Genomic DNA, 25,004 nt, shown 5'->3' with positions numbered 1-25,004 from the left:
AGGGAATGGAGAGAACCTTTGTTGGCCTCGGCTTCCAAACCACAGACACCGAGGGCTAATTGGTAGCAGTTTCTAGAATGTCCTCGGGCTACTCGGTAGGTGGAGCAGGACTGTGCTTCACCGGAATCTTCAGAAGCTCAACCCCAGGCCTGACGCGTGTGGCGCCGGAGCTCTGCGTTCACTGTGCAGCTGAACATCAGGGGCTGCGTGCTGCCGGGAGCTTCTGTCCCAGGTGTGGTTAACACTAGGATGTTTCTAACAGGAAGTCCACTGTTAGAACAGACACCATCGTCCTCCGGCTCCGGCCCTCCAATCCCACCAGGTGGGCAGCAAGCTGACGCTTCCCACATGGGCAAATTCAAGCAGTCACCGTCGCTGGAGTGTGTGTGTTGTAAAGGCACCAGGTCTTACAGAAACTACAACAGCCAGAGGACAGTAAGAGGCTAAGAGGAGTAAAGCTTACAAGTTTAATTTCCTGAAAATATCCACTCCCTCTCCCATCGGTCCTGCAAAGAGGCTGCACCTCTCAGCTACTCAAAAGACAGGACCAGAGACGTTCTCTCCTCCTGACAAAACTGTGCCACACAGCTCTGTGCAGCCCACGGAGTCACACATGTAGGAAGCTACCCTTGGACTACAGGCAGCACCGCAGGTGGCCCATGCAGGTTCCCAGGCCCGACCTCCCCACACCCCTTGGAGCTCCCGAGGTTTCTATGGGTGTTTGAGAACCACGTTACAAGTTTTAACTTGTACACGTTTTTTGCTTGTTTTTGTTTCTTTTTTTGAGACGGAGTTTCACTCTTGTTGCCCAGGCTGGAGTGCAGTGGCGCGATCTTGGCTCACGGCAACCTCCGCCTCCCGGGTTCAAGCGATTCTCCTGCCTCAGCCTCCCAAGTAGCTGGGATTACAGGCATGCGCCACCACGCTCAGCTCATTTTGTATTTTCGATAGAGACGGGGTTTCTCCATGTTGGTCCGGCTGGTCTCAAACTCCCGACCTCAGGTGATCCGCCCGCCTCGGCCTCCCAGCGTGCTGGGATTAGAGGCGTGAGCCACCGCGCCCGGCCTCTTGTACAAGTTTTTACACCACATGAAAGGCTACCCCGTAGCCGCTATTCCCTAAGCCATGCGGCCTTTCGGATCTCTGGAAACACCCACATCTGCGGCCGTTCCTCGGCTTGGCGGTGCTCCCCACCTCTAAGGCACCTGCAGGCTTCGCTGCCGGTCACCATTACCCCCCGTCACCCCACCCCATGCATGCTGCGACACCCCTGACATCAGCACGTCGCACGAGAACAGGCTTCAAGACACGGGGTCAAACCGGACGACTGACAGGGAGGAAGGCCTCCATGTTAGAAAAGCTGCCAATTCAGACAGCCCTTAAGAACCGCCCCTCCCCAGGCGAGAAGGAAAACACCGTGCTAAGAAAGATGCCAGCTCTTTATTACCAGGGAAGCTGTGTGCACGCGCGTGGAGCGCGCTCCTTGGAGCTGACCGGGCCCTTACCTTCTCCTGCTTGTCAGAGGTGAGTCCTGGTACCCAGCACGGTGGCCTCCGGGAGGCTTTGATAGGTCAGCCTTTGCTGCCTCCCAGCTCAGGGCTCCTCCAAGGAACCTGCGGGGCCCCATGTGCCCACAGCCCGAGGAGGGAAGCACCGACCGCCCTCCTCGTGGCACGCTGCACTCCAGCGCTGGGCACTTCACCTGCTTCCTGGCTTGCGGTGGTCAGGCTCGATACTGACTCCACTGATCGGCACATTGAGTTCCAAAAGAATGCAAACCGCGTGGGTGCTGTGGCGACATTGTTTGCACCGTTTATACAACCAGACAGCTTTTTAGACTAAATTCGTGTCCAAACTAACACGCACGGGAACGGGCTCCAGCTGCAGCTCCCTGGGTCTGTCAGGCCGGGGAGCGGTTCTACCGGAAGAGCCGGTACGTCCTGGGCAGGCGCCCGTCCTTACTCGACAGGGCGGTCTGGATGTGCTCATACGTGGGCAGGTCAGTCAGGTCACCCAGGGCGGCCACTGCCGGCTTCCCTCGGAGCATCTTAGAAGCGACTCTCTTCACATCTTCCGGCTTCACGTTGCCTAGTGCAGAGGGCAAACGCGTGTCACACGAGCGCGCCACGGCCCCCACGCTGAGGCTGCATCAGTAAACACACGGAGGGGGCGGCTGGTCTGTACCACTCACTCACGCTGTGCTGCTGATGGGGGCACCTGGGCCCAAAGGCAGCCACTGGGTGTAGCCAAGGGTGAGTCCACAAGTGACAGACGTTGAGTTCTCAGTAAATGGGGACATGGCAATGACTTAAAAATATAGGACAAAGCCACCCAAGAAGAGTTACACTTACAGAAGAGCGAGCTCCGTGTCTGATGAACTCACTTTAGGACGGCCTGCAGAAAAAACCCCCAGCCCCCGAGGGCCGCATGGACAGAAGGGTGGGGTGAGAGAAGGCCAAAGGGCTGCACCCAGGAACCCCAGGACAGGAGTGATAGGGTCCAGGTGGGTCTGTTTTCTACAGAAAACGAGGCCCGAGAGAGGCTGGACACTCGCTTGAGGATTTAAGCGGGGGCTCCTGAGGGAAGGACGAGGGCCCACACGGGACAGGGCAAGTGCCCGGGACTCCAGGCCTGGAAAGGAGATGCCCACAGGTGACACCATAAGCCCGAGCCACCCCAACGTAATAGGCAGCCTTGCCAGGTTTTAAGCCTGTCCCCCAGAAGAGTCCGATGCACATACAACTTGGCAGTTTCAGGAAATTCAGACCTCCTAAGGTCACTCATGGGGGCCCCGGAAACCTGGGGCTGAGACTCCTGCCCGAGAGCCAGCAACGGTACAGCGGCATTCCGAGCCACTGCTACTCCACGTACAATGTAGCAGTCCTCTACTGAGCCCTTCTCGCCTACTAACTTGAGTGCTCTTTAACAACTCTGGGCAGTAGTGACAGCCCCTCCCAGGGGTGCAGAGGGTGGGGTCACCTGCCAAGGAGGCAGCAGGTGCATGGTGGGGCCGGGAAGTGAGACCAGGTCTGCGACCCCACGACCCTGCCCTTGGCCGCCCCTGCTGAGGACAACTGGTGAAGGCCCCAGATTCTGGGTGTGATGGACATACCACAGGCCCACCACGGCCTGCGGGAGGGCGAGACGGCCTCCTCTGAGCCTGGCCGAGGCCTGCGGCAGCCCCTCACTACCCCTGCGGTACTCACGGATGAGCGTGCACAGCTCGTGCGGCAGCTTTCTGGAGCGAGTGGCCAGCACCTGCCTCCCCACATCCTCGAAGATCACAGGCCTGGATTCCAGGTTCATCATGAGCATTGATGTCAGCTGCGTCTTGGCTCGTTCCAGCTCCACCTGGGGCCAGGGTCCAGTCAGGTGAGCACACACCCGCCCCGTGCCACCTTCCACCCCCCACTCGAGCAATGGCAAAACGCCATCTCTGTGCCCAAAGCTGAACATAAGAAAGGGAAGGGCAGCCGGGCGCAGTGGCTCCCGCCTGTAATCCCAGCTCTTTGGGAGGCTGAGGCAGGCGGATCACGAGGTCAGGAGATTGAGACCATCCTGGCTAACAGAGTGAAACCCCTTCTCTACTAAAAATACAAAAAGAAATTAGCTGGGCGTGGTGGCGGGCGCCTGTAGTCCCAGCTGCTCAGGAAGCTGAGGCGGGAGAATGGCATGAACCCGGGAGGCGGAGCTTGCAGTGAGCCCAGATCGCACCACTGCACTCCAGCCTGGGCGACAGAGCAAGACTCTGTCTCAAAAAAAAAAAAAAAAAAAAAAACGGGAACCCAGGCCCAAGTCACAGGCAACCCTGCTGGTCTCCCCTTCAGGTTTTTTAGGGAAGGGCTGTGCTACGTGTTACCCGGCTTCTACCACACTTGAAATACAGGAGCAATGTGCCTCCCTTGAGTTCTTCATTGTCTGTGTGACATGCAGCGGGAGAAGGTAAAATAGTTAACTCCCAAATGCCAGGGCCCCAAAGTGGCCACACGGCAAAATCGGGGAAAACAAATGAAACACAGGTTCTGGGGCTTCCCCAGACGCCTCCGGCGCAGGGCCCAGGCAGCTGGTTTTAGCAAAGTCCCTGGGAGGTTCTGAGGGAGGCAGTGCGGGTCCTAGGCTGCCTTCAGACTGTCTCAGGGCACAGGCAGGGGTGCTGTGAGAAGGACATGCAGATCTAGGAGCCAGCATACTGAAAAACAAACACCAAAAACTGATGGGCCGCAGAGATGCTACACTTTTTTTTTTTTTTCTTAAATAGACACAGGGTCTTGCTATGTTGCCCAGGTCAGTCTTGAACTCCTGGGCTCAAGTGATCCTCCCACCTTGGTCTCCCAAAGTGCTGGGAAAACAGGCATAAGCCACCGGACCTGGCCTCTATACCATTTCTTTTAAGTAAAACAATTCTTAGGTCTTTTTGCAACTTTAGGCAAATACCTAAATACTTCATATTTATTTCAAGTTGACTTCACGTTAGTGGAGGACTGTTTTTCTAGCAGTGCACTAGTGGAACTGAAGCGTATTAATTTAACCACAACTTTATTTCTTGAATGCTTTTTTTCCTGGCCGGGCACGGTGGCTCACACCGGGATCCCAAAGTAATCCCAGCACTTTGGGAGGCCAAGGCAGGTGGATCACCTGAGGTCAGCAGTTCAAGACCGGTCTGGCCAACGTGGTGAAACCCTGTCTCTACTAAAAATACAAAAATTAGCCATGGGGCTGCGTGCAATGGCTCACACCTGTAATCCCAGCACTTTGGGAGGCCGAGATGGGCAGATGACTTGAGGTCAGGAGTTCAAGACCAGCCTGGCCAACATGGTGAAACCCCATCTCTACTAAAAATACAAAAAATTAGCCAGGTGTGGTGGTGGGTGCCTGTAATCCCAGCTACTCAGGAGGCTGAGGTAGGAGAATCACCTGAACCCGGGAGGCGGAGGTTGCAATGAGTTGAGATCATGCCACCGCACTCCAGCCTGGGCAACAGAGCAGGACTCCGTCTCAAAAAAAAAAAAAAAAAACAGAAAACAAAAAACAAAAAAATTAGCTAGGGTGGTGACACATGCCTGTAATCCCAGCTACTCAGGAGGCTAAGGTAGGAGAATCACCTGAACCCGGGAGGTGGAAGGATGCAGTGAGCTGAGATCATGCCACTGCACTCCAGCCTGAGCAAGACTCTGTCTAAAAAAAAAAAAAAGTGTGTGTATAAAACTTGCTTATTTGTACCACTTCTGGTCCAGGAAGTAACGAGGTTCCCAAATGTGTAAAGCATCAAAAACTAAGCTTAAAAAATTAGTAAACAGGGACGCATGGTGGCTCACACCTGTAATTGTAATCCCAGCACCTTGGGAGGCCAAGGCAACGGATCACTTGAGGTCAGGAGTTTAAGACCACCCTGGCCAACATGGCGAAACCCCGTCTCTACTAAAAATACAAAAATTAGCCAGGCATGGTGGCGCATGCCTGTAATCCCAGCTACTTGGGAGGCTGAAGCAGGAGAATCGCTTGAACCCGGGAGGTGGAGGTTGCAGTGAGCCGAATTTGAGCTACTGCACTCCAGCCTGGGTGAGACAGTGAGACTCCATCTTAAAAAGAACAAAAAAAAATTGGTAAACAAATACAGTTTCAAACATAGAATGGAGCCAGGGAAAGGCTCGAGACACCCCACGCTGCAGCCCACCTGTGCGAGCTGCTTCACCCCAGTCACCTCACAGAGGCGGCTGAGAAGGACACAAAAACTCCTGCAGCGTTTCGCCAGCAAAGCTGAGAGAGTCACATGGTCAGTCCCACGACTCACCCAGTGGCTCAGAGAAAGAAGTAGTGGACCGAGCACTGGGGGAGGGCGGTGGTCTGTTTTTCTGTTTTCGGGGTTTGGACCAGGGAAGAACAGCCTCAGCGGGCTCCCAGGTGGAGCAGCTCAGCCCCAGGCTGTGCCTCCTTGGCCGCCCTGCCCTGCCCTGCCCTGCCGGGACCTTGGCCCTGAGGCTCAGGGACCAGGCCCACAGGTGGCCACTCCTACAACGTGGCTGTCTCCTGTCAGACACCACAGGTACGCCTGGAAATGGCGCCACACTGCACTTACCGTGTCCACGGTTCCGCCCATTAAAATAAACTCCTTTGTGATGATTTCTACCATTTCTCGAACCTGCGAAGAAGGGCAAGACGATAACAGTGTGGCCTGCGCCTGCCGGCCTACTGACCCGTCTAGGCAGGGACGCCCAGGTCTGGACAGGCAACCGCACTGAGGACGGTGGCAGGCGGGGCCCTCACCTGTCTTGGGTCGGCGCTGGCATGGATGCAAAGGAGGCCAGTGTCCTCGTAGCTGTGGTGGTAGGAGGTCGCGTTATACATCCAGTGGTGCCTGGGAGGAAGCGAGAGTCATGGGAGTGAAGGGGACTCGCCAGGATCAGGCCATGGGAAACTGGAGAAAAGTCACCTGGAAGGTGGCCTCATGGTCCAAAAACACACCTGGCCTGGCCTGGTGGCCTGAGGATACAGAAAAGAGTGCAACCCACCTGTTGAGCACGTTGAGGTAGAGCCTGGAGAACATGCCCTTGCCGGGCCCACCAGCCGAGAAGGAGCCACCTCCGCCCATCATCATGTTCAACACTGCAAAGGGGATGAAGTCCTCCTCCTGCAGGGACGGAGGGCAGAGCTGGCTGAACCACCCACGCCACGTCAGGAGCACCGTCAGACGCCAGGGACGGAGGGCAGAGCTGGCTGAGTCGCCCAAGCCACGTCAGGAGCGCCGCTGGACGCCAGGGACGGAGGGCAGAGCTGGCTGAGCCACCCATGCCGCGTCAGGAGCGCCGTCGGATGCCAGGGACAAAGGGCAGAGCTAGCTGAGCCACCCACGCTGTGTCACGAGCGCCGTCAGACGCCAGGGACAGAGGGCAGAGCTGGCTGAGTCGCCCACACTGCATCAGGAGCATTGCTGGATGCCAGGGACAGAGGGCAGAGCTGGCTGAGCCGCCCACGCCCCATCAGGAGCGCTGTCGGATGCCAGGGACAGAGGGCAGGGCTGGCTGAGCCGGCCACACTGCATCAGGAACGCCATCAGACCCAGCACCAGGACTCACCAGGAAGGAGCAGCTCTCCAGTCCAACCATGATGTGCGTGAGCTCGGGGATGGGGGTCGGGCCCAGGCTGACATTGGACATGTCTCTTTCTAGCTGTAACCAAGAAAACAAGCAAGTGTCGCCATGTGAAAAACAATGAGGGCTCGCAAACCCCAGATGAGATCATCTTCAGAGTGGTTACACAGAAATCCAATGCCAGCCAGGCACAGTGGCTCATGCCTAAAATCCCAGCACTTTGGGAGGCCAAGGTGGGCAGATCACTTGAGTCCAGGAGTTCAAGACCAGCCTAGGCAATGTGGCAAAACTCCACCTCTACCAAAAAGACAAAAAAAAAAAAACATATGTATATACATATAAGCTGGGCGTGGTGGCTTACGCCTGTAATCCCAGCATTTTGGGAGGCTGAGGCAGGTAGATCATGAGGTCAGGAGTTCGAGACCAGCCTGGCCAACATAGTGAAACCCCATCTCTATACAAAATTTAGCCGGGCGTGGTGGTAATCCCAGCTACTCGGGAAGTTGAGGCAGAAGAATCACTTGAACCTGGGAGGTGGAGGTTGCAGTAAGCCGAGATTGCACCACTGCACTCCAGCCTGGGTGACAGAGCGAGGCTCCATCTCTAAAAAAAAAAAAAAAAAATGCAACACGCAGTGGCAGACCCACTCCCCTAGAGAAAGAACCGCATCCACCTTTTGTGTTGCTCTCAGGCCTAGCAGCACTCATTCTCAGCAGGGGACACAGTCCATGCCCTGCTGTGGGACTACAGCATGTGTTAAGGCAAAGCTACACATGCAGTCAACACCTATCACCCTCAGAATCAATACAAAAACAGGTCACACCACGGGCCAGGGGACGTGTTCCCCACCCGAGGCCATGAGACGTTCCCGCTACTTCACCTTGGCAATCCCCCCAGTGTACTGGGCCACAGATCTGTCAATATCCACGGCCTCTGCGCTCCCCCAGGCCGGCTGGACCCCCAGGAGGTACTTCCGGGCACAGTCCACCAGATGCTCGTGCTCCACGCCCACGCCGGCCAGCACCATGCGGTCGGGAGTGTAGTAGTTCCTCAGGTAGGAATGCAGCACCTCTCGGTTGATCTTTGCTACGTTTTCTGTGGGGCAGAAACGGTGGAGGCCAACTGTGTTCTCCCTGTAAGCCGCCTAATGGGGAAGAGCCACAGACACAGGTGACTGAAGACAGCATGACCAGGCTTCCTCCAACAAGCAGCACCAGCGCCCATCTGCAGCCAGCCCTGGGAAAATCCGACGCAAGCTGATATTTTACTTGCACTCTGGCAATAGCAGCTGCGTGCGTATTTATAAAGAGTAAAATCTGCCTCTCCAGAATACAAATTCACAAAAAGCCTAAGATTAATTGTGTTTAGTAGTAAAGACCTAGTTACTATAAAAACTGGAAAATACGAACATTGTATAAACAGCAGACTCAGAAATCAAGAATGTTCTAAGCTGAGTGCGGTGACTCACGCCTGTAATCCCAGCTACTTGGGAGGCAGAGGCAGGAGGATCACCTGAGCTGAGCCCAGGAGTGCAAGACCAGCGTAGGCAATGTGGAGAAACCTCATCTCAAAAAACAAAAAAATGTTCTGTATATATCCATAACCTGCAAGGACAACATCACGGAGGCACCCTCCCCACCACCCCTGGTGTCCCGAGGACCACTGTTCGAGATGCGGGGGCATTCTCGAGTTTGACATTTTACTTCATGAATCATCTCGGTGAGAAGTGGCTCTGGGTCAGGCCGCAGGTTCAGGTCCTCCAGCTCAAACTGGACCGCCATCCGCGTCATCTCGACTTCTTCATCTGCAAGAGAACCCAAAGGCCAGGGCTGAGTCTGCACAGGCAGAGATGAGGAACACAGCAGTGACCCACAGCTTGTGTGCTGGCCTGAGTGTCGCCTGTTGGTGGCTGTTGGCAGTCACCTCTGCCTTCATCTAGGGGCAGACTGGGTGCTTGTGTGAGTGAGGGGGACTGCTACAGGGAGCAGGAGCTAGGGGACCTGGGCCTCACATCCCGCCTCAGCCATGAAGCAGCCACGTGAGCCTGCTAAGCCCTGGCTTCCTTGCTGGTGAAAGGCACCGAAGACACTGGACCTGTCTGTCCCAAGTGCTGCTGTGAGGACACGAGACCAGACATGAAGGTGCTTAGAAACAGAGGCACACGCTGGGTGCGGTGGCTCACGCCTGTAATCCCAGCACTTTGGGAGGCCGAGGTGGGTGGATCACCTGAGGTCAGGAGTTCAAGACCAGCCTGGCCAGCACTGTGAAACCCCATCTCTACTAAAAATACAAAAATTAACTGGGCGCGGTGGCGGGCGCCTGTAATCCCAGCTACTCAGGAGGCTGAGGCAGGAGAATCACTTGAACCTGGGAGGTGGAGGTTGCAGTGAGCCGAGATCGCGCCACTGCATTCCAGCCTGGGTGACAGAGACAGACTCTATCTCCAAAAAGAAACAGAGGCACAGACAGATGTCAAGGGCGCCTTTCATCAGTTGTGACCACAAGATCTTAACGTGGGACTGTAGCCTTTGAACACCAAGCGCAAGCTGCTGTGAAACTGCACCCTTAGGGTATCTGGAAAAGCCAACGTTCCCCTCTCCTGGTCCACCCCTGACAGGGACTCAAAGTCCTGCCATCTGCAAGGCTGAGGAGGGTAATGGAAACAGTGAAATGGAAATTTCTGGCACACACCATTCCACTTGTTTAAAGACGGTCCGAGGTGCCCTTCCGAAATCAAAGAACCAATTTCGCTAAAAACATCCCACAGGGATGAGGGCACAGATGTCTCAAATACACATTCTCTCAAACACTAAGGACTTTTACAATCACCAGTGGGTTTTTTTTCCTTTTTGTGGAGAACAGAGTCTTGCTATGTTGCTCAGACTGGTCTCGAACTCCTGGGCTGAAGTGATCCTCCCATCTCTACATCCCTAAATGCCGGGATTACAGGCGTGAGCCAGCACGCCTGGCTACTAGCACTATTTCTTTTTCCTTTCTTTCTTTTTTTGAGACAAAGCCTCACTCTGTTGCCCAGGCTGGAGGGCAGTGGCACAATCATGGCTCACTGCAGCCTCAACCTCCCAGGCTCAAACGATCTTCCTACCTCAGCCTCCCGAGTAGCTAGGACTCTAAGTGTAAGCAACCACAGCCAGCTAATTCTTGTATCTTTTTTGTAGAGACAGGGTTTCACCATGTTGCCCAGGCTGGTCTCAAACTCCTGGGCTCAAGCGATTTGCCTGCCTGAGCCTCCCAAAGTCCTGGGATTCCAGGTGTGAGCCACCATGCCCAGCCCCAGCGCTATTTCTTATGAGATCTCGCTGTCACTTTGTGTTGGCCTAAAGCTCCAATTACATGGTGCTCTCCCTCATGGCTACAGGGCTTCTGCAAACCTTTCCGGTCTTCCCTATGTCCAAGCCCACCTCAAACGCCAGCGGCTGGGATCCACACCTGTTAGCCGGGGCTGCAGAACCACATCAGCCAGTAAGGCAACCACCGTGTCCAAGCCTTTGCTATCAGCAGACACAGCATACATGGTGGTGTCTCTGGAAGAAAACACAAGCCCATAATGCCAGGCCCTGAACTCACACTCTGCTTAACAGCCAGGGGACGCTCGGGCTTTGCGTGCCAGGTGGACAATGCCAGGCCCTGAGCTCACACTCTGCTCAACAGCCAGGGGACACTTGGGCTTTGCATGCCAGGGGCACCTACCTTTTGTTGGGGCCCAGCAGACATTTCAGGGACGCTTGGGCTTTGCGTGCCAGGGGACACCTCCTACCCTTCATCGGGGAACAGCAGACACTTTTCCCCTTTCTCTTTTCCTGTCTTACAGTGTGAATGCTTGGTAGGCAGGACTCACAGCTACACACAGCTTGAGTCAAAATGGAGCCACTTCTGATACAGATTTTTGTAACTATACTCTCTCTCAAAAGGTGAAGTGTTTCATCCCAGCCTCCTGTTGACTGAACGAACCCACTGGTGAGTGTGGAAACATGCCCGGCCTTGGCTGGCTTGGGGGACAGCAATGGCTGGCTCGTATGGAGCTTGTCTCACTGTAACATCTGTTCCCGGCATGAGGCACTGCACAGTCAGAAGTGCACAGAGCTGGCCCATGGGACAGGCACGAAATCATGGGGTGCTCTGAGATCAAGTGTGATCAAGGGAGACCATGCAGAGCAGACGCAACAGCCACGAAGAAGAGGGAGCTTGGGAGGCAGGACGCAGTCACCAGTGCCTCTGAAGAGGGGACTTGGCTGGACCTTCACCCTGAAGAGGAGCCATTCTCAGTGACTTTGGCTCTCCACATGGGGAGAATGGCAAGAACAAAAGCCTGAGCTGAGGGCGAGGGGGGCTGGGTCTGAGTCAGGACACCAGCCACCTGGCCAGAGAAAGGAGTTCATCTGGGATGAGTGAGATTCGAGGCAAGAGTCGGAGAATCAAACACACCAGGCAGGAACCTGGCAGGGGCAGCTGGGAGTCAGGGGGTATTAAGAGGCCTTGTTTTAGAACATGAATATGTTACCTCCAAGCTAACTTTAATTCTTAGCATTTAATGTGTCTTTTATGTGTAATTTTTTTAGCATTCAAACTTAAATCAACAATTTTAAAAATCTGTGATCTATATTCACCCATCTCACATTGCCCAGTGCTTTCTGAACAAGCTCCACACCTGGCATGCAAAGACCACTGCACTGTGCTCGAGGCAACACTGCCCCCTCCCTCCACCAAGCAGCCGGCACCTCCCTGGCTCGGTGCCTTTTGCCCCTGCTGTCTCCTGGTCTGGAATGCCTTGTGCCCCGTGTGTCTAGCAAACTCCTTCTGGAACCAGCCCAACCCTGCATTTCCTATGATTCCTTTCCCAACTCCAGACCAAGTCAGCCACTCATCCTCCTGGCTCCTACCGCCTTTGGCTACGGGGTCCATTACGTATGCAAGGCCCTCTGCTCTATCTGGGAACAGGGCCTGCTCTACATCCCTGGCATGCAGCCAACAGCCTGGAGGAACTGACGGGGGTCAACTGAGCTCCTGGGGGCTGTGCTTCTCTGTGTAAGCGCCATCCACCCAAGTCTCCATCCAGGACAGGGCTCCTTCTCCCCGTGAATCTCCACACCTCCCGCTGGGAGGGGCTCAGAGGGAATCTGAGCAACGACAAGAACGTCAGTTCCCAAGGACCCAAAGTCAGTTTGTACACAAAAGCTGGTGTACCTTGATGTCTGGCAGTCACAGATACCCCCATGCTTTTCCAACGTAAGCAGAATTTCATCTTTGCTGTCAAATCGAGCAGTAGACTAGTAAAAATAAATAAGGAAACCTAAATAAGCAATCCAGGCTATCCCTGAAACACAATTTTTTTTTAAAATCTACTTTTGCTTTTAACACACATACAAAAATTATCTTTTAACTTAAAAGTCTTTTATTAACATTAACTTAGCAACTTGATAATTTATTAAAATAACCATTATAGACAAGAAAAATCTCAAACATCCTTCAAAAGTATAGTCTAAAAAATTACAAAACTGGGTACTGACCGAAAATGCCAATTTTTCCAAAAAGTGAGCAATTCCACTAAGGTATTTCGCTTCATATCTCGATCCTGAATTGATAAGAACTAGTAGTAAAAAGAAAATTGACAGGTTACATCAGATATTCAAAATAAGATTTAATCAAGAGAAACATTTTAAGATGTCAATATGACATGATAATCAGATTTAATTACATGAGGGTGATTGTGCTGATGGTTTCACAGGTATATGTGTAGCTCAACATTTATGAAATCGTACACTTTGTTTCCACTCAGGGTACAATTCATAATTGGCATGCTAATTACAACTAACAGTCAACTAAAGCATGTGCATGTTAAAACTGCGGGACCACCCACGACAACACAACAGTACTTACTTCCTACTGTACAAAACTGTCCAAACTTATTCTGAGATGCCACGCGAAGCCCATTATCCAATGTGGTTACTTTGGTTTCAAACTTTTCCTGTCCATCAACTGTAGCAAAAACAGGCTTGGGTACTCCAGGTAAGGGAGAAGAGAGGGGGATGTTGGGATAGGCACCACCACTACTAAACCGTCTGTACGCAGGAGGTCCAAACCTAAAACAGAGAAAGCGGCCCAGTTACAACAGGCTTGAGACAACAAACCTGTGATGACCTGTTAGGTGCGGTTAGTTATGTTTTGTCTGGGTTAAAAGTGAGCATCTGCCTTTCTACAGGACTTATTTCTACAGACTTTGGAAGACAAAGCAGAGGCTGACAACAAAGGCTCAGCCACGGGACCTGGAGCAAGCTGGTTCCGTCCTTTGGGTCTTAGTTGCTATCTCTGTAAAAACAGGGCTTATTAACAGTAACTCACTCTAAGTGCAGTTTGTACACATAAAGCACTTAACAGCTCTGCCCTCCAACAGCACCACCGAAGTCTTGGATAAAAGCCATATCCCTTATTAACCTGGTCCGAAGGCGGGGTGTGACTTGGCCTCTGTCTCCCTCTCCAAACTCATCTCTTGAACCCCCACACTCCCATAGGTCCTGGTCACACTGATTCTTGTCAATTCCTGGAACACATTTGACTCATCAACCCCAAAGCTTCTTCACCGTTCCAGGGCTTGCCCTTTGCCCATGCCTACCCCTTCTTTCATTCTTCAGCTCTTCCCTTAAATGTCACCCTGATGGAGGACTATCCCTCACCAGTCTAGTCTTTCCTGCTATTTTCTATCATGAAAGGCTGCTTGTTTACTCCAAAGCATTTACGCGACTGCCGATATTTTGTTTACGCTCCAGCCTGTATCCATCTCCTGGAGGCAGCACCTCCGCACCCCTGAAACGGCGCTCGTTGTGTGGGGAGGGGCGACGCCTGTGCTGTCGGAACAAAGTTCCAGCGTGGGGAAAGGCAGGCCCGGTCACTTGGGTGGGAGGAGCGGTGGGTACGGAAAGGGTTCTTAAACGTCAGAGATCAACGGACAGACCGCAGCAACCGAGAGCCTGGACCCTGGTGTCAGAACCCTGCGGGTCTAACAGAGCTGGGCCCCCACCGGCTCAGCCTCCTGAAGGAGCACGCGGTAGGTGAAGCGCGGGGGCAAATATGAGGCATGGCCTCGGAGAAGGCCCGTCGACCCGGGAAGTGAGGGGGGGAGAGGACCCAGCAGCCGGGGAGAGGAGAGACAGATGGGACTGCGTCCCCGGGCTCGAGGCGCAAAGCAAGGCAGGGCCCCCGTCGCCTCGGGGACACCAGTGTCCCGAAGTGCGAGCCCGTCCCACGGGCGCCATGTCACCTGTAGAAACCGAAGACGGAGCGTCCAGAAAGACTCGAGCCGCCCCCGCCCCAGGCCGAAGCCTGGTTCGCCTTTGGCTCACCTCAGCCGCGAACAGCCCCAAGAACCCGAGCCCCGCAGCAACCGCGTCGCCGCCAGCACCACAGCCGCCATCTTGCGTCTCCGCCCCGCTTCAGTCGTCACTTCCGCTTCCGCCCACGGCTTCCCCTCCCCCTCGCCGACGGCCCAAGGCGTTCAGGCACGCGCTTTCGGTGCTCGGAGCGGAAGCAGCGGCGAGAGGCTCGGAGGCGCGGGGGCGGCCGAGCGGCGGGCGACGGGGGCGGGCGACGGGGGCGGGCGACGCGGGCCGCGGCACGGGCGGAGCCGGGGCCATGGAGCCGCCGCTGCCGGGCTAGGCAGGTCGTGCCCCGCCGGGCCGGCGGCGATGTCGGGCTACCAGCGCCGCCCGGGCGCCACCCCGCTGTCCCGAGCCCGGAGCCTCGCCATTCCCGACGGTGAGCGGGGCAGGGGCCGAGTCCAGCGGTCCAGGTGGGCGGCGGCCGCCCCGGCACGCAGTAAAGTCGCTGTTGTCGTTGCTTCCAGCTCCAGCGTTCTATGAGCGCCGGTCTTGTCTCCCCCAGCTAAATTGTGAGCGCCCCCATGGCAGGGACCTGGACTCCCCCTTCTTCGGCATTCGGCCGGCCTTTATGTGCTATGTGCCCAGCCCGGTGCTGGCTTCCGTGGGAGACACAGGTGAGAGACGAGGGCGCCGGCCCCGGGGACGCTTCCAGTTCCCGCGCCACGTGTGGCACCTCCGCTGCAGCACGAGCTCGTCCATTGACCCATCAATGTGCAGAGCGCTCACTGCGTGCCAGGCACTCGGAATTCAAAGGCGGAGTCCCCTGCTAGGAGCTCACAGTCTGGTTGCGGGGAGACCTCCCCCAAGACAGACAGTTCCAGTACAGGATGGTTAGTGCCCGGGGAGCACAGGAGCCCGCCCGCTTTCCTCGTGGGGCTGGAGTCGGGGTGCCTTCACCTAGTGGGCAGTGATTGGAAACCGAGCTGGAGCATTCCATCTGCCTCCACAGCCGGGCAGTGGCCAGATCTGGTTCGTCCTCGTTCTACCCAAGCAGAAGTGCTGCTGGGTGCCCGGGGTGTGCAGGAGTGTTTGTGTGGTTATGCCAGGATCTGAGGACATTCGGGGGTTGTCACAAGACAAGAGGACGCGCTTGCCCCGGCTGGGCTTCAAAATCTGCTGAGGAGCCGCTTTCAGACCACGGACACCAGGGCCAGTCTGCAAGTCAGGCCATCTCCAGGGTCACAAGTCTGGGAGCTTGTGTTTTTTTTAAAGTTTTCTCGGCTGACCGGGCGCAGTGGCTTACGCCTGTAATCCCAGCACTTTGGGAGGCCGAGGCAGGCGGATCATGAGGTCAGGAGATTGAGACCATCCTGGCTAACAGGGTGAAAACCCGTCTCTACAAAAAATACAAAAAAATTAGCCGGGCGTGGTGGCAGGTGCCTGTAGTCCCAGCTACTCGGGAGGATGAGGCAGGAGAATGGCGTGAACCCAGGAGGCGGAGCTTGCAGGGAGCCGAGATCGCACCACTGCACTCCAGCTTGGGCGACAGAGCAAGACTCCGTCTCAAAAAAAAAAAAAAAGTTCTCTAGACTGTGAGAACCACTGCAGTGGAGACTCCATGTGCAAAAGAAAAAAACCAAATGTGAGGTCATAAAGACTTCCTGCCAGCATGGTGGGTGACATTGTTTCTTTGCAGATTTTGGCTATGGAAAGGGGAAATGTTCTAAGCAGAGCCCGTCAGGAGCCCACGGGACACATTTTGGAGGTAGAGTAGTTCAGCAACCTTTTCTTCTTGTCTCCATCCAACACAGTGCCAGGCACGTGTCTGGTGGGACTGTCAATGTGACTGGCTATGTGGTGTAGCTGGAGCCCAAAAGAGCAGGTGGGGGTGGGATTTCAAGGGTTCAGTCTTGATCCTAGAGTAGCAGCGAGGTGACATCAGGGAGCGGGGAAGCCCCACCTGGGGGGCTGGGGCCACAGGAGCCAGCTTTACATGGGGCTCACAGCTGGGAGGGTCGAGTGTGGCTGCTTAAGTCCCCGGAGGGTGGGAAGGCGGTGGCAAGAGGGAGAAGGGAAAAGTGGGCGTTATTTAGGCTACCTAGGTAGGAAAGTCGGGAAGAGGGTCAGGGGGCACTGGGTCCCCAGCGTTGCAGCACCTGAGGAGCTGGTTGTTGTTGTTGTTTTTTGAGACAGAGTCTCGCTCTGTCGCCCAGGCTGGAGTACAGTGGCACGATCTCGGCTCACTGCAAGCTCCACCTCCCAGGTTCACGCCATTCTCCTGCCTCAGCCTCCCGAGTAGCTGGGACTACAGGCGCTCACCACCACGCCTGGCTAATTTTTTGTATTTTTAGTAGAGATGAGGTTTCACCGTGTTAGCCAGGATGGTCTCAGTCTCCTGACCTCGTGATCCGCCCGCCTTGACCTCCCACAGTGCTGGGGTACAGGCGTGAGCCACCACACCTGGCCACCTGAGGAGCTTTGAGAGCTCCTAGCACAGGTTGACCTCACACCAGGGAGCTGGGTGTGTGCAGTGGAGTGGCTTGGGTCGTTTTAAAGCTCCCCAGGGGAGCTTTAGTGAGCAGCACAGTGTGGGAGCAGGGGCCGAGGGGTGGAAGGAGAAGATTGCAAATGCAGACGCACGTCTGTGTCACTGCCCACCTTCAGCCACCTTCACACTTCCTAGTGCTGCCTGAGTCATGGTAGAATGACAAGCGTGGCTGCCCGATCTCACATGTGGCCATGCTCTGGAAAGACAGGTGAACAGGAAGGTTCCCTTTCAACGCTCTTCAGTAGACTTTATGCATTTGTGATGTCTGTTATTTCAGATGACAGATTTGAAGATCTGGAAGAGGCAAATCCATTCTCTTTTAGAGAGTTTCTGAAGACCAAGAACCTCGGCCTCTCGAAAGAGGATCCGGCCAGCAGAATTTATGCAAAGGTAAATCCACGGCACTGTGGGCGATGGCTCTGTGGGACGTTTCTGTTCCGGCCTCTGCAGCCTCCTTTGGAGGAATCGTGCATGAGTGTGGCAGAGCAGGCAGGCGTCAGTGCTGGGGAGCAGCTCTGGGCTCAGAAGCTGCTGGGCTCCTTCCGGTAGAGAGATTGGGCCTTTCTTCTTGTTGCGAGGCAGAACACAGAAAGGAAGATGCGCTCCGAGTCAGAAGCATGGCCTCCATTGTTTTTTTTTTTTTTTTTTTTTTAGGAAGCCTCGAGGCATTCCCTGGGACTTGACCACAACTCCCCACCCTCCCAAACCGGCGGGTATGGCCTGGAGTATCAGCAGCCATTTTTCGAGGATCCGACAGGGGCTGGTGACCTCCTGGATGAGGAGGAGGATGAGGACACCGGATGGAGTGGGGCCTACCTGCCGTCCGCCATCGAGCAGACTCACCCCGAGAGGGTCCCTGCCGGCACGTCGCCCTGCAGCACATACCTTTCCTTTTTCTCCACCCCGTCGGAGCTGGCAGGGCCTGAGTCTCTGCCCTCGTGGGCGTTGAGTGACACTGATTCTCGCGTGTCTCCGGCCTCTCCGGCAGGGAGTCCTAGCGCAGACTTTGCGGTTCATGGAGAGTCTCTGGGAGACAGGCACCTGCGGACGCTGCAGATAAGTTACGACGCAGTAAGTGAGCCTCACGGCGCCCTCTGGCACAGCGCCTGTCCGAGCGGCTTCTCCCGGGGAGAACCTGGAGCCATCCTACCTCTTGGGTGGCCTGGTTTGATTTCCAGGACAAGGCGATTTGCGTGACAGCCTGCTATCCACTTTCCCTTTGACTTTGCTTCTGGTTACACGTGGGAATAGAACCGGCTAAAGAGGACTGGTGAGCTAGAAGCTGTGAATTGGATGCAGTTGGGCACTTACAGGGCTGTACCCTCAGTAAAGGCAGGCTGCAGTCGCCAGCTTGCTAAGTATTCCAAGAGGAGGAAAATTTTTAAAAAATTATAATCACCTAAAAGGTTATAAGCTCTGAATAAAAAAAAAAATTTTTTAGCTGGGCGCCGTGGCTCACGCCTGTAATCTCAGCACTTTGGGAGGCCGAGGTGGGTGGATCACCTGAGGTCAGCAGTTTGAGACCAGCCTGGCCAACATGGTGAAACCCTGTCTCTACTGAAAATACAAAAATTAGCTGGGCGTGGCGGCAGGCGCCTGTAGTCCCAGCTACTTGGGAGGCTGAGGCAGGAGAATCGCTTGAACCCGGGAGGCGGAGGTTGCGGTGAGCCGAGGTCACGCCACTGTACTCCAGCCTAGGCGACGGGCGAAACTCTGTTTCAAAAAAAAGAAAAATTATTTTCTTCCTGAGACAGTGTCTCACTCTGTTGCTCATGCTGGAGTGGAGTGGCACGATCTCGGCTCACTGCAACCTCCGCCTCCCGAGTTCAAGTGATTCTCCTGCTTCAGCCACCCGAGTAGTTAGGACTACAGGTGCCCGCCACCACTGCTGGCTAATTTTTGTATTTTTAGTAGAGACGGGGGTTTCACCGTGTTGGCCAGGCTGGTCTCAAACTCCTGACCTTGTGATCCGCCCACCTCGGCCTCCCAAAGTGCTGGGATTACAGGCGCGAGCCACTGCCCCCGGCCTCTGAGTAAAATTAACTGGCATCTGTGACCACAGGTCTTTGAAAAGTGCCTGCCTCCGTCTGTGGTCTCCCTCTGTAGTGGCTGCAGGTGGATGCTGCACTGACCCAGCATCTCTGCTTATCAGGAGGCTCTGGAGCCACACCGCAGAAGCACACGCCCTTTTGAGCCAGACATGCTGACTTTCTAATAAGGATGTTCTCTCTCCACAGCTGAAAGATGAAAATTCTAAGCTGAGAAGAAAGCTGAATGAGGTTCAGAGCTTCTCTGAAGCTCAAACAGAAATGTATGTAAGCTTTTAGTTAGGAATGCAATCCACAACATCTAATACACAGGGAAATCCGTTTTTAAATGATAATGAAGTAATCAGAGTCAAACCAGATCTGGGTTTTATTGTATATAAATGTTCAGCATCAAACACATTTCTGTGTTCTGCCTAAAAGTTTATTTTGAGACAGTCTTGCCGTGTCACCCAGGCTCGGGTGCAGTGGCGCAATCACGGCTCACTGCAGCCTTGACCTCCTTGGCTCCAGCAATCCTCCCATCTCAGCCTCCTGAGTAGCTGGGACCACAGGCGTTTGCCACTGCACCTGGCTAATTTTTAAATCTTATTTTTGTAGAGACAGGGTCTCACTATGTTGCCCAGGCTTGTCTCAAACTCCTCGGCTCAAGGAATCCTCCTGCCTCAGGCTCCTAAAGTGTTGGGATTATAGGCATGAGCCACGGCGCCTGGCCAAGGTTTATTTTAAACTTTAGGCAAAAAGCCACCAAACACCTTGTTGGAGCAGCAGTGCTGTGAGAGCCGCTCCCTGCACGCCTGCCTGGTGGCTACAGGTCCAGGCCTGAGGCTGCCGCTGCCTCCCCTCTGTGCCTGAGACCCATTCCATCACAGGCTCTTAGCGGGTTTTATCTGGCTCATGAGGTATCTTTTTGTAGTCCTCTTAAAAGTAGCCACAGAAATTAACAACTCGGGTTTTTCTTTAACAAGGGTGAGGACGCTTGAGCGGAAGTTAGAAGCAAAAATGATCAAGGAGGAAAGCGACTACCACGACCTGGAGTCGGTGGTTCAGCAGGTGGAGCAGAACCTGGAGCTGATGACCGTATGGGTTTCTTCTCTGAATCGGACGAGCTGGGTGGGGCAGGAGCGCTCCTGAGAAAGTGCTGTTGTCCTCAGCAGCCGGTGCAGCCTGCCCTTGGGAGCGGGGCCATGTGGCTCTCTGGGACTGGTGTTCTTTGACGTCGCTGTCTCGCTGTGCCTGGGGATAGCTGGCCCACGAGGGCATCCGTGGGGAGTGGGGGGCCAGAGCACAGACACTGCACGATGAGCCCTTCCCAGGGGTGGTCTGAGAGTGGAGGCGGGACTGGGAGGGGCACAGGGGCTGTGAAGGGCCACAGCCAGGTTGGGTGCCCTCCTGCTCCCTGGGTTGGGGCCCGTGTCCGGTATGAATGTGAGGACATCAGTGATGCTTTTTGTGGTTTTTCTTTTTTGGGTAACAGAAACGGGCTGTAAAGGCAGAAAACCACGTCGTGAAACTAAAACAGGAAATCAGTTTGCTCCAGGTAATTAAAGGAAGGGACTTCAGTGTTTTTCTTTGATTTGTGGAGTCACATAATGAATTCAGTAAGAAAGAGGCGAAAGACTCTGCTGGGGTTTCCCCTGAGCCCAAGCAGAGAAAGGACTTCAAATGAGGACAGCAGCCGCTTCCTGTCAGGGCGTGAAGCAGAGGGAGGCCCTGGAGCTCTGTTGGGAGTTTGGGGTCTGGCACGGGGCATCCACTTGTAGGAGTCCCTATTGCCATAGAGCTAGGTGCTGAGCATATACTGGAGTGAAGGGGAAGCCATTAGGCCCCCAGTCCCAGAGGCGAGCCCCCAGTTAGGCCAGAGCATGCATCTTGAGTGCCAGGCCCCCACGGGTAAGCCCTCGCCTCGCCAGGTGGTGACTTTCAGCCGGGTTGCCTCGGAGCTGCTCTGTCCTTAGCCGTAACCGTCCCCCCAGGCGCAGGTCTCCAACTTCCAGCGAGAGAATGAAGCCCTGCGGTGCGGCCAGGGTGCCAGCCTGACCGTGGTGAAGCAGAACGCCGACGTGGCCCTGCAGAACCTCCGGGTGGTCATGAACAGTGCACAGGCTTCCATCAAGTGAGTGCCTGGGAGGCACCGGGAAGCCTGGCGGGGAAAGGGGTGAGATTGGAGTGGTCGTCAGTGATCCTGGGTGGGGGCCCAGGCTGATGGCACCGTGGCTGGAGGACCAGGGAGCTGCAGGGAGGGACGCGTGCTCAGTGGTCCTGTTAGCTCTCTGGGTCACTGTGTGGACAGACCACAGGCTTTCTAACCTGCCTCGCAGTGTCTGATCCCACCTGGGAGGTGCAGACAGCCACAGCACCCTGCACTGAACCTCAGCCCCACCCCATGTGGGCGCTGAAGCTCTGAATAAAGGAAATAGTGGGGGTTTCCCTCCTGCTGAAAAAGCCACTTCCCAGAAGGCCCTTACTGCTGTGCCTGGCTGGGGACACGCCAGCCACCATGACTGTGACAGTGGTGAGTGTCTGCCACCCATTGGGCTGAGCTCTGCAGGGCGGTGTTGGCCCCCAGAGCACTCCCTGTGAACAAGGGAGCCGTCTCCTGTGAAGTCAGGTGTGGGTCTCCTCCAAGAGGAGCTAGGAGTGGAAAACCTGTGGTTCTCCCCCAGCCCCTCCCTTTCTCCCAGGAACCCTGTCCCTTTCTTCCCCCGGCAAACCCCACCCCTTGCTCCCAGGAACCCTGTCCCTTTCTTCCCCGGCAAACCCCACCCCTTGCTCCCTGGGACCCTGTCCCTTTCTCCCCCGGCAAACCCCACCCCTTGCTCCCTGGAACCCTGTCCCTTTCTCCCCCCGGCAAACCCCACCCCTTGCTCCCTGGGACCCCTTCTGTTTCTCCCCCCAGAATTCTGTCCCTTTCTCCCTGGAACCCCTTACCTTTCTCCCCGCCAGAACCCTTCCCCTGTGGAATCCCTCCCCGCTCTGGAAACCCTCCCCTTCCTTCCCCACCCCCACCCCCGGAATTCCTCCCCTTTCTCCCCCTCAGAACCTCTCCCCTTTTTCTGCCTACCAACCCCTCCCCTTTCTGCCCCCCACCCCCTGTGGAAACCCTCCCCATTCTTCCCCCTGGAAACCCTCGCCTTCCTCCCACTCAGAACCTCTCCCCTTTCCCTACCCCTTGGAACCCCTCCCTTTTTCCCCCTACCAACCCCTCCCCTTTCTCCCCCCAGAACCCTGTTGCTGCTGAGTAGCTGCTGCCACCCATCCTGATATCCATGCTTGTTTTCAGGCAACTGGTTTCCGGAGCTGAGACACTGAATCTTGTTGCCGAAATCCTTAAATCTATAGACAGAATTTCTGAAGTTAAAGACGAGGAGGAAGACTCTTGAGGACCCCTGGGTGTTCTCAGCATGAAGCTCCGTGTATACCCTGAGGTCACCACCGCTCGATCTAAATGTGCAGTTGTGTCCTTAAATATGCAGTCTTCACCCAGAGTAAAGTGTTGATCGCAAGAGTCCAGTGTCGTGCCCTCAGCCAGTTCTTGGCCACCACAATGGGAGCAGCCCTGGCCGAGTTGTCTCTGTGGTTTCTATGCAGCCCTTCTTGGCGAAATTCCTGCGATCTTATAGATTCTAATGAGCTCTTGGAAGACATTGTCATAAAAGCCAGTGATTTTAAGAAAAAGAGTGGTTCTGGAATCAATGTTTTCCAGTCCCATCCCAGAACATCAGTTGTAAGATAAGTACAATTGGTTGTCCTTGATTTCATAAGTAGAACAAACACTAAATGTGCCTCTGAGATGGCCACCCCGGGCAGGGACCTGTGCCTTCCGCCGATGCTCAGGGCTCCCTCTGGCTCCCGGGTCACTCTTGTGGCCCCAGTGGGTGGTCCCTGCAGTCATGGCCTGAGTGCGCAGGGGCCACCGCGTGGCTGCTGCTGTCCTCCTCCGGGACCCACGGGGACCAAGGTCACACGTTCCGTGCTGTGAAGCTGTCCAGATGTGCCTCTTTGGCTGGGGGTTCTGGTGGACGTTTCAAGTGGCATTTTGTACAATGCAGGTTAGAATTCAGGAATTTCAAGTATGTGCCCGGGTCTGTCAGGTCCCAGTTGCCTTTCTGACGGCCCCCCTCAGAGGGACGGCGATGAGCACTAAATGCTTTTTTGACTATTTTCCTATAGATTTTTTTTAAAACTTTTTTTTCCTCCTGTTCCAATTGATAGCTTTCTTATTTAATAAATTCTGTAGTTCACCGCACTGTCTCTTCTCTGCTGACTTAGCCAGTCCTTGGAGAACGCCGTGGGCTTCCACACCTCACTTGCTCTTGCCCTAACTGGTGCCTTGTGCTGGCAGATTCTCTCCAGGTCCTCAGCCCTTGGGGTTAGGGGCAGACTCAGACCACTGCTGCCTGGGCCTGACCACTGGGACCCACACGTGATGGACGTGTGAGTCACGCAGCTGCACGTTTCAGAGCTGGACAGACTGGATTCTAGCATTGGATCATCTTTTCGGATCATGTGGTTGAATTTTTCAAACAAGGCGTCTGAATTGCTAGACCCCTAGCCTTAGCTACAGGTGAAGGCCAGAGCTTTCCAGCAGTCACTGTGGAGCGGTCCTGCTGCGTAGCCCTATGCGCCTCCTGCTCCTGCTGGTTGGTGAAAGCAGGCTCTGGATTCTGTTGGCAGAGCTGACTTGAGACAGGGTGCTGTGGTTGGGAAGTGCCGGAATGAGGTTCTGAGTGTATAGGCAGCTCTGGGAGCCCTGTAGCAGCAGGATGGGGGCATCTGGGGAGGATGCCTCAGGCCACAGGCCTTCCCTGAGGCCCTTTGGGAGAGACAGCATTTGATGGGGTGGGGGTCACAAAGGCCAGATCGCCAGGCGGGTCCCATCCACCAGATGCGTGTGAAGTGGGGTGGTCCCCTGGCCCTCATGCCAGCAGCTCATGGAGCAGGTGGGGCCCAGGGAAGCGCGGTGGGGATGGGCATGTGGGTTTTGCGCACCCCTCTCTTTTGATGTCTGTGTTTGAAGCGTTTGATAGTAAGAAGTTTAAAAATACAATTTGTGGCGCGGTATTTAGTGCCTGCCTTCTGCCTCCAGATTTCAAGCCCGATGCAGGGACTGAAACGAGGCGCTCGAGGAGCCCCCAGCCGCCTGGTTCCATCCCCTCCATCTGTTTCTTGCCAATCCCTAGCTCCCAGTTTGGCCTCACCTGGGCCTAGCCCTTTGCCACCAAAAGCCCACCTCCTAGGTAGGCAGGGCAAACCCTCTTTATAGTTCTCCAGCTGATGCCCCTAGCTCACCCCAGGCTGGAGTGGAGGCCCCCTCAACTGGCTGGGCCCAGGATGTCTTTGCAGCACCGATACTTAGAAGCTCTCAGGAGCCAGGAACTGTAGGCCCCTGCCCAGCTCCCGGCCGAGTTAGCCCTGGCACGTTCCTGAAGGAATGAATGCCCACTTAGGGGAGGGCCCCGGGGCAGCTCTCCAGGCCAGGAGACCCCAGAGGGTGTGCACAGGTGACCAGGGAAGCGAGTTTGTGTGGTGCGGGCCCCCACCCTCTGGCCTCAGTCTCCTGCACGTGCCTGGAGATCGGCCTGGCCTCGGCGATCCTGAGCATGCAGGGCAGGCTGGGGAAAAAGCCTTTCACGTAGACTTTCTCATCCGTTGCTTAACCAAACCCCAACATGTCCGTTAACAGAGGATGAAACAAGCACAGAGAGGTCCAGCGATGGCCGAAGGTCACAGCCAGTAAGGGCCGGTCTTCCGGATCGTGACCAGGTGGCCGGGTGCCTGTCCCTGTCTGTCCCCTGCCTTGAGGTCCCGCGTCCACCCGCGCCCCTCCAGAGCGCGCGGAGGCGGCCCCCAGGGCGGCCGCGCGAGGGCAGCATCGAGCCGTTCGCCTCTCTAGTCCCGGCAGGCCGCAGCGGCCGTCCCGGCGTGCCCCGCGCCTCAGGAGGCGGGACTTCCGGCGCGCGGCGCTCTTGTTCTGCAGCCGCCGGAAGCG

At 55.4% G+C, this 25,004-nt stretch overlaps 2 protein-coding genes across 16 annotated transcripts, besides 11 other annotated features; one reads left to right on the top strand and one right to left on the bottom strand.

The window, feature by feature from the left end:
* PMPCA (peptidase, mitochondrial processing subunit alpha) lies at nucleotides 1,422-14,525 on the bottom strand. 5 transcript variants are annotated; one of them, NM_015160.3, is made up of 13 exons: nucleotides 14,444-14,525; nucleotides 12,984-13,186; nucleotides 12,614-12,693; nucleotides 12,291-12,373; nucleotides 10,536-10,630; nucleotides 8,792-8,892; nucleotides 7,969-8,232; nucleotides 7,074-7,166; nucleotides 6,510-6,628; nucleotides 6,265-6,355; nucleotides 6,077-6,139; nucleotides 3,207-3,351; nucleotides 1,422-2,088 (listed from the first exon to the last, which is right to left on the bottom strand). In NM_015160.3, the coding sequence occupies exons 1-13, from the start codon at nucleotides 14,512-14,514 to the stop codon at nucleotides 1,919-1,921; spliced, it is 1,578 nt and encodes a 525-aa protein (NP_055975.1). In that variant the 5' UTR covers nucleotides 14,515-14,525; the 3' UTR covers nucleotides 1,422-1,918. The 5 variants fall into 5 exon arrangements, with proteins under 5 accessions (NP_055975.1, NP_001269875.1, NP_001269873.1 ...); NM_001282946.2 differs by having other exon boundaries at nucleotides 10,536-10,628; NM_001282944.2 differs by lacking the exon at nucleotides 10,536-10,630.
* Nucleotides 8,026-9,225: an enhancer, noted in NCBI's record as "CDK7 strongly-dependent group 2 enhancer chr9:139310410-139311609 (GRCh37/hg19 assembly coordinates)". NCBI's record gives its function as "activates an origin of replication core promoter dependent on BRD2, BRD4, P300/CBP, MED14 and CDK7 cofactors, with strong dependence on CDK7, by STARR-seq in HCT116 cells {active_cell/tissue: HCT116}" and the evidence as "EXISTENCE:reporter gene assay evidence [ECO:0000049][PMID:35650434]".
* Nucleotides 14,287-14,336: an enhancer, noted in NCBI's record as "active region_29309". NCBI's record gives its function as "activates an Ori minimal core promoter by ATAC-STARR-seq in GM12878 lymphoblastoid cells {active_cell/tissue: GM12878}" and the evidence as "EXISTENCE:reporter gene assay evidence [ECO:0000049][PMID:35858748]".
* Nucleotides 14,367-14,456: an enhancer, noted in NCBI's record as "active region_29308". NCBI's record gives its function as "activates an Ori minimal core promoter by ATAC-STARR-seq in GM12878 lymphoblastoid cells {active_cell/tissue: GM12878}" and the evidence as "EXISTENCE:reporter gene assay evidence [ECO:0000049][PMID:35858748]".
* Nucleotides 14,569-23,261, top strand: ENTR1 (endosome associated trafficking regulator 1). 11 transcript variants are annotated; one of them, XM_005266050.5, is made up of 10 exons: nucleotides 14,569-14,855; nucleotides 14,944-15,093; nucleotides 16,116-16,184; nucleotides 17,245-17,357; nucleotides 17,622-18,038; nucleotides 19,205-19,278; nucleotides 19,981-20,065; nucleotides 20,490-20,552; nucleotides 20,989-21,128; nucleotides 22,296-23,261. In XM_005266050.5, the coding sequence occupies exons 1-10, from the start codon at nucleotides 14,786-14,788 to the stop codon at nucleotides 22,393-22,395; spliced, it is 1,281 nt and encodes a 426-aa protein (XP_005266107.1). In that variant the 5' UTR covers nucleotides 14,569-14,785; the 3' UTR covers nucleotides 22,396-23,261. The 11 variants fall into 11 exon arrangements, 10 of the variants coding, with proteins under 10 accessions (XP_005266107.1, NP_001034796.1, XP_047278612.1 ...); NM_001039707.2 differs by having other exon boundaries at nucleotides 19,981-20,092; XM_047422656.1 differs by lacking the exon at nucleotides 14,944-15,093.
* Nucleotides 14,667-14,756: a silencer, noted in NCBI's record as "silent region_20516". NCBI's record gives its function as "represses an Ori minimal core promoter by ATAC-STARR-seq in GM12878 lymphoblastoid cells {active_cell/tissue: GM12878}" and the evidence as "EXISTENCE:reporter gene assay evidence [ECO:0000049][PMID:35858748]".
* Nucleotides 14,897-14,946: a silencer, noted in NCBI's record as "silent region_20515". NCBI's record gives its function as "represses an Ori minimal core promoter by ATAC-STARR-seq in GM12878 lymphoblastoid cells {active_cell/tissue: GM12878}" and the evidence as "EXISTENCE:reporter gene assay evidence [ECO:0000049][PMID:35858748]".
* Nucleotides 15,307-15,466: an enhancer, noted in NCBI's record as "active region_29307". NCBI's record gives its function as "activates an Ori minimal core promoter by ATAC-STARR-seq in GM12878 lymphoblastoid cells {active_cell/tissue: GM12878}" and the evidence as "EXISTENCE:reporter gene assay evidence [ECO:0000049][PMID:35858748]".
* Nucleotides 17,672-18,260: an enhancer, noted in NCBI's record as "H3K4me1 hESC enhancer chr9:139301375-139301963 (GRCh37/hg19 assembly coordinates)". NCBI's record gives its function as "activates a minimal SCP1, AML or CMV promoter by ChIP-STARR-seq in naive H9 embryonic stem cells {active_cell/tissue: H9 hESC(naive)}" and the evidence as "EXISTENCE:reporter gene assay evidence [ECO:0000049][PMID:30033119]".
* Nucleotides 19,999-20,068: an enhancer, noted in NCBI's record as "active region_29306". NCBI's record gives its function as "activates an Ori minimal core promoter by ATAC-STARR-seq in GM12878 lymphoblastoid cells {active_cell/tissue: GM12878}" and the evidence as "EXISTENCE:reporter gene assay evidence [ECO:0000049][PMID:35858748]".
* Nucleotides 23,864-24,800: an enhancer, noted in NCBI's record as "H3K27ac-H3K4me1 hESC enhancer chr9:139294835-139295771 (GRCh37/hg19 assembly coordinates)". NCBI's record gives its function as "activates a minimal SCP1, AML or CMV promoter by ChIP-STARR-seq in naive H9 embryonic stem cells {active_cell/tissue: H9 hESC(naive)}" and the evidence as "EXISTENCE:reporter gene assay evidence [ECO:0000049][PMID:30033119]".
* Nucleotides 24,566-24,615: a silencer, noted in NCBI's record as "silent region_20514". NCBI's record gives its function as "represses an Ori minimal core promoter by ATAC-STARR-seq in GM12878 lymphoblastoid cells {active_cell/tissue: GM12878}" and the evidence as "EXISTENCE:reporter gene assay evidence [ECO:0000049][PMID:35858748]".
* Nucleotides 24,766-24,975: a silencer, noted in NCBI's record as "silent region_20513". NCBI's record gives its function as "represses an Ori minimal core promoter by ATAC-STARR-seq in GM12878 lymphoblastoid cells {active_cell/tissue: GM12878}" and the evidence as "EXISTENCE:reporter gene assay evidence [ECO:0000049][PMID:35858748]".

This window comes from Homo sapiens, chromosome 9 (genome assembly GCF_000001405.40).
Source record: "Homo sapiens chromosome 9, GRCh38.p14 Primary Assembly".
Lineage (NCBI taxonomy): Eukaryota > Metazoa > Chordata > Mammalia > Primates > Hominidae > Homo > Homo sapiens.
The sequence above is the reverse complement of the archived record's forward strand: the minus strand, read 5'-3'. Positions and strand labels throughout refer to the sequence as shown.